At 36.1% G+C, this 14,514-nt stretch overlaps 1 long non-coding RNA gene across 1 annotated transcript in view; it reads right to left on the bottom strand.

The window, feature by feature from the left end:
* The window catches only part of LINC02511 (long intergenic non-protein coding RNA 2511), a 416,898-nt gene that overhangs the window by 279,633 nt on the left and 122,751 nt on the right, over positions 1–14,514 (bottom strand). Inside the window, exon 2 of the long non-coding RNA NR_149105.1 lies at positions 14,027–14,066. This is a non-coding gene — a long non-coding RNA (long intergenic non-protein coding RNA 2511). The remainder of the gene's footprint in view (positions 1–14,026; positions 14,067–14,514) is intronic.

The following is a 14,514-nucleotide window of genomic DNA, read 5'->3' on the forward strand; positions in this document are numbered from 1 at the left end:
TAAAATGCAGGAAAAAATAATACGAAATTGTATTTTTACAGTGCTACTCATTTTGACCTTTGACAAAAAATTGTTCCTCATCCAAAAAACAATGGCTTAGCTGCAACACATTAAAAAATGCAGTGACACATTTTTAGATAGATAAGGAGAGGCTGGAGTTTCTATTATTCAGCATTCATGTCATTTTGAAATGATGCAAACATTCTTGCATGTTTCTATTGGGAGCCAGAGGACCTACCATGTGGTCCTGCAGATGGTGGCCGTTTGAGCAGATTTACTGGAAACACAATGCGGAAGCAGCCAAGATTCAGAAACAAACAAACGTGGTGCTTAGTCACTTGAAGCCAAACCCCCAAATTTTGACGGTACCTGGAGTGCAGAACACTTCTAGAACAAATGCTTGTGGGATACCTTGTGAACAGTTACATAAGGGACATCTGCATAGAAGTCAGGGAAGACCTCAAGTTTAGTAAAAGCATGAGCATATGGACTGACTGCTTCTCTTCAACCACCATGATGACTCTTTAGCTATTCCTCAAACACAATAAACATCCTGAAGAATCAATTGTGGACCCAATTGTTAAAAGAGAAATAGACCTAGTAAGGAGTTAAGACTTTAATAAATATTCAGAATAGCAGAAAAACAATTGTATTCAGATCAGCCCAGCTAAAGTACTCCAGTTCCCTGCTTCCCTTGCAGCTAAAATTAGTAATCTAATGTCCATAATGTTGATACCTGAGACTCTTGGGAAGGTCCTTAAATGGGGGACATTTATCATTTTCATTGCCCTCTTTTCTGCTGCCTGGAACATGGGCATCATAGATGCAATTCTAGATAATTTTTGTGACTATAAAGTTGCAACCTCATTATAGACATAGTAGATGAAAAAGATCAATGCCTGGGTTCCCGAAGGACTATGGAGGTTCCATTCCAGCTGTGATCTGCCTTTCTCCAGAAATAGCTCAGAATTACCTATGCTCAGCATAGTGTTATATGGAGAAAAATAATTTATTTAAGCCACCATTGTTATAGGATCTTTAGGCTGTTGCTTTTCTGGCCGGAAAGCTCAGTGGCTGGTGGCACCTTTGCCCAAGTTTCTGTCCTGCATCCAGGAAGAATGAGGTATGCAGACAAGTGGAAGGTGAATGAGATGAATAGGAGCTTTGAGTGTTACAACAACTCAGAGGAAATCCGCAGTGGGGGTAGCTCCTCTCTGTAGGCAGTCATCTCGTGGAGTGTCAGCTGTCAGCAGAGAGGAGGCCCTGGAGAGGGTGGCTCCTCTTTGCCAGCAGGTTGGCCTGTCATCTCCAGCTACCAGCTACTAGCTCCAGCTACCAGCAAAGAGGGTAGCTCCTCTCTTCAGCTGGTCAGCCTATTGTCTCTCTGTCCTCTGCCCTGCTCTGCATGAACCTGGGGCTTTCATGGACCTCAGAAGGGAGGAAGTGCATTCAGATTGGTCCATGGGTGACCATGGGTGGGCCCAGACGAGGCACCACAAGTCCCCACCCTGGTCCAGGGGACTGGCAGCCCAGCCTCCAGCCTTTAGGACCTTCCTGGCCTGAAGGAGTGGCCTTACCTGACTGCCCCCTTCCGCCCAGGAATCTGTCTGCCCTCTGCTTCCCTTCACGGTCCTGAGGCTCAGTCCCAACCCTGCTGATAGATCAGAGCAGGCCCTGGGAGGGGAGAGAGGCCAGGCAGCCAGAGCAGAAATCTCTGAGCCTGCAGGGATGAGGGGATTCTTCCAGAAGCCCCTGAGGGTGCAGGCTGCACTTGGGAGGGCTGCCGCAGCTGCACCTCGGGAGCTCCTACCCCACCAATTCAGAAGGGGCAGGGCTCCCACTTGTCCCTGACTCCTGCCCACTCTATGGAGTGGGAGGCCCAGGTCTGCAACTGCAGGTTGGGCAGCTTCAGCTGCACCAGGGAGGGCAGATCCTGCCTGCTCCTGTCCCCCACCAAGAGCACAGGAAGATCTGGATCCACAGCTGCAGTTTGGGTGGCTGTAGCCCCACCCAGGAGGGCAGGATTCCTGCCTGCTCCATGGAGCAGAAGCCCTGGGTCTGCAGCTGAGGTTTGGGTGGCTGCACTGATACCCAGGGAGCTCTCACCCCAACTCAGAAGGGGCGGGACTCCCATTGGCTCCACGGAGTGTGCAGCCCTAGCTGCATGTCTTTGCAGCAGCTGGTGTGATGGTAGCAGCCGCTGCCATCACTATTATTTGTGTTTTGCTTCCTGAGTGATACAGAATTTGGTATCTAAAATAATAATGATGCATAAAATGTGGAGTTGATTGAAGGGAAGGGCTGGCAGGTGAATAATAAGGACTCTCTAATATCAATCAGACATTTCACTAGAAATATGGTTACCCTTGTAATGTATTAGCAGAATATTTGACCAAACATTCACCTTTCTCATCTTAAACAGCAGACTGAGCCATCAGGTTACATTTTTATTACTCTTTGAAAATACTCTCCTATATTGCCTCCTCCCTGCATTACATATTACATATTACATATTATTTATTTTGAAATATTTCAGACATGCAAAAGGGTATTATGTAAATAATTACCCATATAATTATGTTATATATGGTATATAATATATCATATCATATATAATATATATACTTTTTGTTATACATATAATCATATATATTAATGTATATAACCATAAATTCTATACATATTAACTGTGTATTAATCTGTTCTCATGCTGCTAATAAAGACATACCGAAGACTGGGAAATTTATAAAGGAAAGAGATTTAATTGACTCGCAGTTCAGCATGGCTGGGGCAGCCTCAGGAAATTTACGATCATAGCGGAAGGGGAAACAATACATCCTTCGCATGGTGGCAGCAAGGAGAAGCACAGAGCAAAAGGGAAAAAGCCCCTTATAAAACCATCAGATCTTGTGAGAACTCACTCACTCACTATCACAAGAACAGCATGGCAGTGACTGCCCCCATGATTCAATTACCTCCACCTGGTCACTCTCAAGAGAAGTTGGGATTATGGGAACCATAATTCAAGATGAGATTTGGGTAGGGACACAGCCAAACCATATTAACACGCATAATGTCATGCATTTGTTATATTTTATAGGCTTATTATCATCTATATGTCATATAACAATATAGCCAACACCCAGCCTGAGAAATAAACTTCTAAAAGCACAGTTGAAGACCTAGTTCACCTTCATCTCCCTACTCCCCTCTCTTCCCAGAGCTAACTACAATCATGACTTCAAGCTGTATTATTTCCATGTTTATTACACATCTTCTACTTATGTACCTGTCTCTAAATAATGGTGTGCATATTATGTACATAAATGATATCCTATTTTATGTGCTTGCCTGAAAATTATTTTAGTTCAACTTTGTTTTAGGTTTATCCATGTTGATAAATTCAAATCTATTTCATTAGTTTTATTAGGTGGATTTCCACTGGATGACTATACCAAATGTATTGGTTTGTTTATGCTGTTTCAGAGTTTTTTATGGTATTGTTTTCCTATAAAAATGCTGATACAAACATTCTATATTTTTTCTTGTGCACTTGTGGGAGAGTTTCTCTATGACATAGGGTATGCACATATTTAGCTCTACTAGAGATTGCCAAATTGCTCCCCAAAGTGGATGCAAAAATTTAAACTTCCACCAGCAGCTACATATGAGATTGCCTATTTGTCTACAGCCTTGCCAACACTGTTATTGGCAGACATTGAAATTATTGTCTAGTTTAGGAGCATGACAGATATTTAATTGTGATTATAATTTTGCATTTTCATGGTTTCTATTGAAATTGAAAATATTTTCATATATTCATGGGCTATACAGTCCTTCAACCAGGAAAGTGAGTTAATATATTTGCTCTTTTAATACTTTAGTGTTTCTACATTTCATTTTTGATTCATAGGAGGGCATTTTGAAATCTAGATACTAATTCTCTGCAAGTTTTATGCATTTTAAATACATTCTTTCAGCCCAAACTTAATTCTTAATATTTTAATGGTGTCATTTCAGGCAAAGCACTAAATTTTTAATAATCAAAATTAAAATGTTTAATATTTTCAGATCTTATTAAATACTCCGTACCCTGAATTCATAAAGAAAATTCATATTTTGGGCTGGGTGTGGTGGCTCAGGCCTGTAATCCCAGCACTTTGGGAGGCTGAGGCGGGCGGATCACGAGCTCAGGAGATGGAGACCATCCTGGCTAAAACAAGTGAAACCCCGTCTCTACTAAAAACACAAAAACAAAATTAGCCAAGCGTGGTTGCGGGCACCTGAGTCCCAGCTACTCAGGAGGCTGAGTCAGGAGAATGGCTTGAACCCAGGAGGCGGAGCTTGCAGTGAGCCGAGATCGTGCCACTGCACTGCAGCCTGGGTGACAGAGTAAGACTCCATCTCAAAAAAAAAAAAATTCATATTTTGTACTAAAAGTTTTAAAATTTTCTTACACCGGATTATTTGTTACCCAGGAATTTCATATATGACGTGAAGTATAGGTAACTTTTTGTTTGTTTGTTTGTTCTGAGAGACAGAGTCTTACTCTGTTGCCCAGGCTGGAGTGCAGTGGCATGATCTTGGCTCACTGCAACCTCTGCCTCCCGGGTTCAAGCAATTCTCCTGCCTCAGCTTTCCAAGTAGCTGCGGCTACAGGCATGCACCACCACGCCCAGTTAATTTTTGTATGTTTTAGTAGAGACGGGGTTTCACTATATGTTGGCCAGGTTGGTCTCGAATTCCTGACCTCAGGTGATCCGCCTGCCTCGGCCTCCCAAAGTCCTGGGATTACAGGCGTGAGCCCTGCCAACTTTTTAAAATGGAAAACCACTTTCATCCTCATTTGTTAAGTTGTTGTTCTTTCTACATTGATCTATAATTACACCTTCTTCCTACACAAACTGTCCAGAAATACATAGTTCCATCTGGGGACTTTCTTTTGTGGCATTGGTCATTTGTCTGCACCACAGCCAAATTCACTGTCTCAATTTCCATTGTTTTATGGTAGGTATGCCTTAACAGATGTCCATGCATCAATCCCCTCCATGTTCCTCCTTAAAATTATCTTGTCTATCATTATGTCCCTACAATTATATATATTTTCAGATCAGTTTGTCAAGTTCCATCAAGGAAAAAATGAGATTTTTATTAGAATCACATTGACATTACTCATTAATTTAGGCAGTTGCCATCTTTGTGATACTGAATCTTTTTTATTCATGCATACCGTCTATATTCAGTTTAGTCATCTTTTATGATTTTAATAAAGTTAAATAATTTCTCCATAAAGCATTTGGACATTCCTTGTCAAATGCATTCTTATGTACATCATATTTGTACATCTTGTACTTTTAAAATAATCTTTTCTTATTTTTAACCTAGTGTATAAGAATGTAATTAATTTTATACCAAAAAAACTACTTAAAATCATATCTACTCTGTTAATTTGTCAGTTTATTATTATTGTTACCTCTCTCCAGTCCTTATGCTTGCTATTTTTTTCCATCTTCATGAATTCATTGAGGCCTCAGACATAATATTGACTACAAATGGTGGTAGGAAGAGACATTTTTTTTCATTCGTTACTTTAAAAAAAATGTTTCCAACATTTCACCATTAAAACTATGTTGGCTTAGGTTTGTTCTTTATTCTCTTTAGGTGGTGTCCTGTTATCTTTAGTTTGCTAGGAGTTTCTTTTTGTTTTTGTTTTGTTTGTTTGTTTTTGAGATAGGGGCTCGTTCTGCTACCCAGGCTGGAGTGCAATGACGCAATCATGGCCATCTGCAGCCTCGAACTCCTGAGTTTAAGAGATCCTTCCACCTTGATCTCCTGAGTAGCTAAGACTACTGGCCCACACCACTATGCCTGGCTATTTTTTATTATTATTATTATTTTTATAGAGATGGGAGTCTCGCTATGCTGCCCAAAGTGCTGGGATTACCGGCATAAAACACTGCCCAGCCTGCTTAAATATTTTATGATACATGGCGATTGACTTTAGATCAAAGGTTTTTCCACGGTTATGTACCTACATTTTCCCCTTTAATTTAAATAAGGAAAATTATATAAGTAGATTCTCTAATCAGTCTAATCCATCCTTGCATTCCTGGGATTAACCTTACTTGGGCATGATATACTATATTTAATATATTTCTGAGTTTATTTTGCAAATATTTATAGGATGTTTACCTTTATCCATACTGACATTTTTCCTATAAAAACAATCCCAGATTTTCTGCCAAAAAAATTTAAAAAAAGAAAAAATATAGAACACTATGTAAAATTTTTGAAGTTTTTATATGACTCCCACTTAACATTTATAAAAGCTTCATAAGGTAGGTGGTCTTTTTATATTTAATTTTCACCTACAGCAAAAGGCTGAGGTTTAAGAAGTAGAATAATTTTCTTAAGGCCTAAAATGGTTAGAGAGCAGATGCAGGATTCCTCAAAACTCAATTACTGTATCTGTTAGAATCATCTCTTTTATTCCCTATTTAAAAAATGGATTATCCAATAAATCTTTAAAAATACCTTAACCTTTTTTTTGTTTTGATCCTTTATTTCTCATCCCTACTCTATCTCCTCTCAGTCCTCTGAATGTGTGTATATCTACGTAGTTTTCCTAGTCCTATCATTTTACTTCATCTGTAATACATTTAAATGAATGTTTATTTTCATGCATTTGGCAAGACTGTAAGCTCTGGAAGGCCAATAACTGCCCCATATCTGTTTTTTTGTAGCCATATGCAGTGCCTTGCATGTTGCTTTGTAAATACATAGTGATTACAAAACAGATATTTTGGTAGTGAATTGAATTATTCCTCCTTGAAGCTAGTGTTTGTTTATATTTTAGAGAAGTTGTTGGTTTTTCTTTTACTGTGTGAGAGAAAGAATCCCCTTGAGTAGTGAAGGAGAAAATTAGTTTTAAAGAGAAACAAAGTAATTAACATAGGATATAAAACAAGCCATAATGACAGTCAAAATATAACAAACATAATGAAATTAAAATGACATTAAGGGGAATATCTAAGTCATAAGAATCAAAAACGGTAAACTAAAACTACAATTTGTTAAATTTTATATAATCAACATTCTAAACATAAGATCTTACAGATCATTTCTGCAGATTCCACTGGGTAAAGTTTCTGGAAGCTGAGGTAATTCAAGATCCCAAGAAAAATAAATAGGAAACTAAGGGGGAAAGGCTGCATTTTATTAGCCTAGGAATAAGATTACAAAGACTCCAGAAGAAAGAGAGAGAGGGAATGGACATGTAAGCACCAAAATCTCTTTTATTTTTGTTGACTAGCTCCATTTTGCTATATGAAATCTATTTTTATTCCTGTATTGCTGCAAACAACTGCAACTTTGAAATCACAGTAGACGAAATAAAACATTTCCATTACATAATAGTTTTTTACATTGTTTATACGTTTTATTCTCTTTAAACCTGCAACTGTGTGCAATTTTAATTCATGTGTCTTTATTCTCTCTTACTTTATAAGAAGATAAACATTTATTCAGAATCTATGTGTAAGTTTTCTCACCTCTCTATTTTAAAGATACATTTTCATATTCAATCAGTCATTTAATAGTGTCTTTTATATATTCACCATTACCCTTGAAGGGGCATACACAAGATACAACTCTAGACCTAATCAGCATATGCACAGACTTCATTGAGCCTACATTCTGAACATGAAGCCAAAACTTGGTGAGGCACTTTTGGAAATAACAGAATGCTAAACCACAGTACTAATTATAATTACAAAAGAGTTTCAGAAAAAATGTAGCAAAGTTTGGTTCTAAATATTAAAGGATGTTTCATGATCTGGATCTTAAAGAATCTATCAAATTAGAAAATGTTGAAGTCAGGTGGGATATTACTCTGAACAGGAACATAAATTAAGAAGGAAGCTGAAATTAGTATGGTATAGAGTGTTAAAATATATACTTAATTAGAGTCCAAAATAGTTATTTGATAGATGTGGGAAATTGACTGTATGAGCCAAATGGTAAAAGATTTTAAAAGTTGGTAAACTAGTTTGACGTCATTTCTGCTGGATTATAAATTCTTAGAACATAGCTTACCCCCAGTACCAGTGAATGTAACCTTATTTGGAAATACTCTTTGCAGATAATCAAATGAAGATGAGGTTATACTGGATCAAAGTAGGCCCTACTCTGATGACTAAAGTAATAAGTGAAATGAAATTTATAAACACACACACACACACACACACACGGAGAATGCTATTTGACAACACTGGGCAGAAATTGGAGTGAGGCAGCTGTCAAGAAAGTACAAGGATTGCAGCAGACACCAGAAGCTAGGAGAACAAATTCTGCCTCAGAGATTCCAGAAAAGAGACTCCCTTCTGATTTTGGACTTCTAGCCTTCAGAACTGTAAGAGAACAAACTTCTGTTGTTTTAAGTCAGCCAGTCTGTGGTTATTTATAGCACTGCCCTAGGAAACTAAAACAGATCCCTATCTAACACCTCCTATAAAAATAAAATCCAAATGCCTCACTTAAAGTTTAAATTTTTTATTTGAAATAAATATAGATTCATGGGAAGTTGCAAAAAAAAAAAAAAAAAAGTACAGGGAGTCCCCATGTACCCTTTACCCAGCCTCTTCCTCTTTTATCATCTGTGTAAATAGAATGAGGTATCACATCAAGGAAACTGATGTTGGTACAATCCATAGAGCATATGTACTTTTCACCAGTGGCACATGCATTCATGTTGGGGTGTTTGTGTGTGTATAGCTTGATATAATTTTATCACAGGGTAGCTTTATATGACCATTCCACCAATGAAGATACTTATCCCTAGAGCCACACCTAGCCCTTATCCTTTCCCTGACCTCTGGCAATCACTAATTCTCCATCACTGTAGTTACGTTATTTCATAAGAACTGGAATCATACAACATGTATGCCTTTGACATCAGCTGTTTTCACATCACATAATTTTCTTGAGGTTTATTAAATTTGTATATCAATATATCATAATAGTTTGTTTCTTTCTATTGCTGAACAGTATTTCATGATGTTGATGTATAACAGTTTGCTTGACCATTCACCTACTGAAAGACATTTGGGAAGTTTAAAGTTTTACATTATTAAAAATAAACCTGCTATGAATATGTATGTGCAAACTTCTATGTGAAAATAAATTTTCATTTCTCTGGCATAAATTCCCCAGAATGAAAATGCTGGGTCATATACTAAGACCAGTTTTAAAAATAACTGATAAAATACTTTCTAATGTAGCTAAACCATTTCACATTCCCGTGTACGAGTGATCCAGTTTCTCCACATTCTCACCAACATTTAGTATTATCACTGTCTTTAATTTCAGCCATTCTGATATATGTATAGTGATGTTATTGTTATTTAAATTTTACTTTCCTAATATTTAATAAATTTGTACATCTTTCATCTTCTTTGGAGAAACATCTATTCATGTGTTTTGCTCATTTTCTAATTGTATTTTTTTCAATGTTGATTTTTGAGAGTTCTTTATATAGTAGAAATGCACGTTCTTTGTTGACTAAGATTAATAAATATACTCTCCATGTCTGCATCTTGACTTTTTGCCTTAAAAAAGATTTTCACAAGGCAAAAAATTATAATTTTAATGAGGTCAATTACCAATTTTTTCTTTTGTGGATTGTCCTTTTGGAGTCATATCTAAAAACTCTGGGGTTAGGCCATGGATGTTTTTCATACATATATTATAAATGTATTTTTATATATACATATAAATATGTGGTATACATATTTTTATATGTACACATAAGTATGTGGTATACATTATAAACATATGATTTATAGTTTATAATAAATGTATACCACGTATTTTTATGTTGTATAATTTTACTTTAAGCCCATGATCTATTATGAGTTAATTTTTGTATAAGGTGTGAATTTACATTAAGAATCTTTTTTTTTCTTGATGATGGATGTTAAATGGCTCTAGTGCCTTTTTTTGGCAGGAAACCACTCCTCCACTGAATTACTTTCATTTCTTTGTCAAAGATTATTTAGACATATTTGTGTAGATATATTTTTGGATTCTTTATTTGGTTCCATTGATCTATAGGTATCTTCTTCTGGGAATACTACATGTTCTTGATTACTGTAGGATGAATGAAATAGATCTTTCCAAATGTATTAGTCAGGATTCCCTAGAGGGACAGAACTAATAAGAGAGAAATGTATATTAACTTATGCAATCACAAGGTCCTACAATAGGCCGTCTGCAAGCTTGAGGAGCCAGGAGAGCCAGTCAAAGCCTCAAAACTGAAGAACTTGGAGTCTGATGTTTGAGGGCAAGAAGCATCCAGCACGAGTGAAAGATGTAGGCTGGGAAGCTAGGCCAGTCTCGCCTTTTCATGCTTTTCTGCCTACTTTATATTCGAGGGCAGCTGATTAGATTGTGCCCACAATCGAGGGTGGGTCTGCCTTTCCCAGCCCACTGACTCAAATGTTAATCTCCTTTGGCAACGCCCTTGCAGACACACCCAGGATCAATACTTTGCATCCTTCAATCCAATCAAATTGACACTCAATATTAACCATCACACCAAAATAGTCTTCTTTCATTTCTCTCATTAGCACTTTTGTAGCTTTAAGCTCTCGACTCCTACAGATGTTTTGTCAGATTTACATGTAATAATTTTACTTTATTTGGTGCTATTGGGAATTGCATTGCATTTTCTATTTTGTTTTTCAATTGTTTATTGTCAGTGTATAGAAATGCATTTAATATTTGTGTGTTTGCTGAGTCATATGGTAGTTGTATTTTTAGTTTTCTTCTTCTCCTTTTTTTGAGACCGAGTTTCACTCTGTCACCCAGGCTGGAGTGCAATGGTGCTATCATAGCCTACTGCGGCCTCAACTTCCTGGGCTCAAGCATTCCTTCCACCTCAGCCTCCCAAGTACCTAGGACTACAGGCATGCACCACCACATCCAACTAATTTTTATTTTTTGTAGAGATGGGGCCTCACTATGTTGCCCCATTTTTAGTTTTTTGAAAAACCTCCTTAATGTTCTCAATAGTGGCCCTACTAAGTTACCTTTCACCAACAGTGTACAAGGGTTCCCCTTTCTCCACATCCTCACCACCATCCATTATTGCCTATCTTCTTAATAAAAGTCATTTTAACTGTGGTGAGTTGATATCTCACTGTGATTTGATTTACATTTCTCAGGTGATTAGTGATGTTGATTTTTTTTTTAATGTACCTGTTGGCCATTTGTATGTCTTCTTTTGAGAAATGGCTACTTAGATCTTTTGCTCACTTTTAACTTTTTCACTATTGAGTTGTTTGAACTTCTTATACATTCTGATTATTAATCCCATGTCAGCTGTGAGTTTGCAAATAATTTCTCTTAGTCTGTGGGTTGTCTCTTCACTTTGTTTATCTCTTCAAATATTTTAGTTAATTTAAGGCATGGGAAGGAGGTTAGTCACCTTGAATATTTGGCAACTCCACTTCCCAAATTAATGCAATTATGAAAAAGTCTCTTGATTATCTTTCCAGGTTTTCTTAGAGTTCTCTACACAATAATATGTAATGATATCTCTATACAATGATATGTATTGTATTTAAGATATGATTGTATGATTTGTATATGCTCCAGTCGAATATAAGATACTATGGAATATTTATCCATGATACCACTTCCAATTAAAAATAACATAATATTTTGGCTGTCATAAATATACATTTGTGCTATAATTACAATTTCCAGGACTAACACTCTTAGTAGTTTCCATGTGAAATCACTGCCCTCATTGATCTTGCATTCTAGTGGAGTGATGGAATTTTCTCTGAAAATGCTATTCCACCTCTACCACTTGATAGCTGAGTGTCATGGGAGAAATTTATTAACCTCTCTGGGCTGCAGTTTCCTCATCTGACAATTGGGGAACACGTCTAACTGGTAGTACTGTATGAAAAGTAAATAAAATATGTAAATGTCATTAAATGAGACCTACATGGTGAAAGGCAGGACAAACATGGCCTCTGGTGTTTGATTCCTATGTGTGTGGCCTTCCTTAACAAATTGCTTAACATCTCTGCCTCAATGTCCTAGTTTTTAAAATTGAGATAATAATGGCACCTCTCTCATAGGACTGTGAAGAATAAAAGAGTTAATAAATGGAAAAATGGTACAGTTTAGCTCCCAACAAAAGTTAACTATTCTCTATTACATCAAAATAAGATGTAGAATATACTTCCAGTGAATATGAAAACAAAAAAGCCCATAATTTGATAGCTACATTTTAGAAAGAAGTATGGCTAACTCAGAAGTCAAGTTCAAATAATTTCTTACCAGAAATCATTTAAACTACTTAACCAGGTTTAAAGCTTGAATTGCACTTACCTAAAATATTTCTTCTAATGAAAAATAAAAAGATAATAAACCATAGCTTACTCTTATCTGTTCGCTCTTTATTTTCTATGGTAAATACTAAATCTTCTGATCTTTAATTATATGTGCTAACAGTAGTCTCACAAAATCTAATACCGATCTGTAAACATGAGTTAGACAATATTTGTAGAACTTGATATAATGTTAATTTACAATTTTCGTCTCTACAAATGTTTGCATAAATAATGAATTGAGGTGTTGATGTTTCCATGATCTTTGTTTAATTAGACACTTTTGGCAATTCAACACAATTGTAAGGGAAAAAATGACAGATAATTTCTTCTTTGCATTCAATTTAATTATGTAAGCTGTTTGGAAAATAAATTTCCAAAAATCTTTCACATGCCACTGTAGCTTCTCTGTCCCATCTAATGAAAAACTGCTATGTTTAATTTGTTATAAAATATTCACAATTCATTTTAATAGTTTCAGAAAAAAAGATTAATGGTATTGTTTTAGAAAAGCATTAATTACAGAGATACTCCCTTCTCTGTAGATCTTTCACACACATAGGAACAAATAAATTTCTCTTTCTTCTAGAAATCTATAGATCAAGAGGTGAGGGCAGCATTCTCTAATTTAGAATATTCATTATAAATCTATAAATGAAGGCCGTAATAAAATGTGAACTTGAAATTTAGGATGAATTTAGTTCTCTCTCACAAATGCTTTGTGATGTGTTGTGTATTGGTATACACCCAAACATATGTACAAACACTTGACTAGAAGACTGAAAATGAAGCCCCTTATCCTAATTCAAAATATTCTTTTAAAAAGTGAATACACTCTCAGGATACAAATAAAACTGTTAATGTGTATATCACCATGTTAAAACAGTGTCCTTGTTATTATTCCATAGCAACTGACACTAAAGTAATGCCATGGGTTGCCACATTCTGCCTGTTAACTTCAAGCATCCGGTTAAACTTATTCCTTCATTATTAAAAAAAAAATAGGGTTAAAAAAGTCTGAGGATTCAGAAAGAAAGATCAGAATAAACAAGTCTACCTTCAAAGGCAAAGAATGTTATAAGGAGATGCGTGTGCACGTGTGTGTGTGTGTAAGTATGTTCAGAGGATTTCAAGATGTTCTAGAAATTCAAGAAGCTTTAACTTTGTAACACAAGGACAGGGAATTAGGAAAGGGGAAAAAATAAGAAAGTGTTTTTGAAAAACTAACTGCCACTTTGAACACAGAAATAACTGTATAGAAGGGAAACAATTCTATAAAAGAGCAACAGATTAACTGAGCATTGAACACCAAATATGACTTAAATAAATCACATGTACATAAATTATTGTGTAATGTTACACATTAAAGGCAAAAATAATTTTCCCAATGGTTTCAGACAGCAAACAATAAAACAACAGGCAAGTGAACTTTGAGGAAACCAGAATCAGAACAGCATTATGTTTTTCATCAGTGAGAGGAAATGTTAGCAGACAGCGGAGCAAGGTCTCAAAGCAGAGAGGGAAAATGTGATAAAATCTAGAATTCTATATCTCAACAAATTATTAATCAATTTTTACTTGATAAGCAAAGTTCATTAATGCAAAATTATTCGACATTTACTTACATAAAGAGTTCCTCCCAAGGAAATTATTTGCACATCGATTCTGGAAAAGTGAGAGAAAAAAACAAAAATAGTGAATATTTTTTTAAGGCCTAATTCTCAACTTCTTTTCACCCCTTATTCTCCTAAAGCAACAGTAGGGAATGGGGGAGAGGTCAGTTAAGTCCTTTTTAAATGCTGCTATGAGGAAAAGTTAAATGCTAGTAAATTAAAACTATATGGTAAATTGGTTTTTAGGAGATGACTATCCAGCTATCTAAAAGATGTTAGGACTTAGGGTTCTATGAAGAACCAAAAACAACTGTAATCAGCGATTGTTGATTGACGATTATACTGTTGTAAAATATAGTCATAGTTCAAAAACATGTAAACACAAAGTCAGCATGATTTTAAGAGTTAGTGAAATATAAAAAGTAAAAATACACTTGCCATTGACAGTAAGACTATTCACTATTGAACGGCACAGCTGCAGTGACATTAGAAACTAGAAG

This window comes from Homo sapiens, chromosome 4, assembly GCF_000001405.40.
Source record: "Homo sapiens chromosome 4, GRCh38.p14 Primary Assembly".
NCBI lineage: Eukaryota > Metazoa > Chordata > Mammalia > Primates > Hominidae > Homo > Homo sapiens.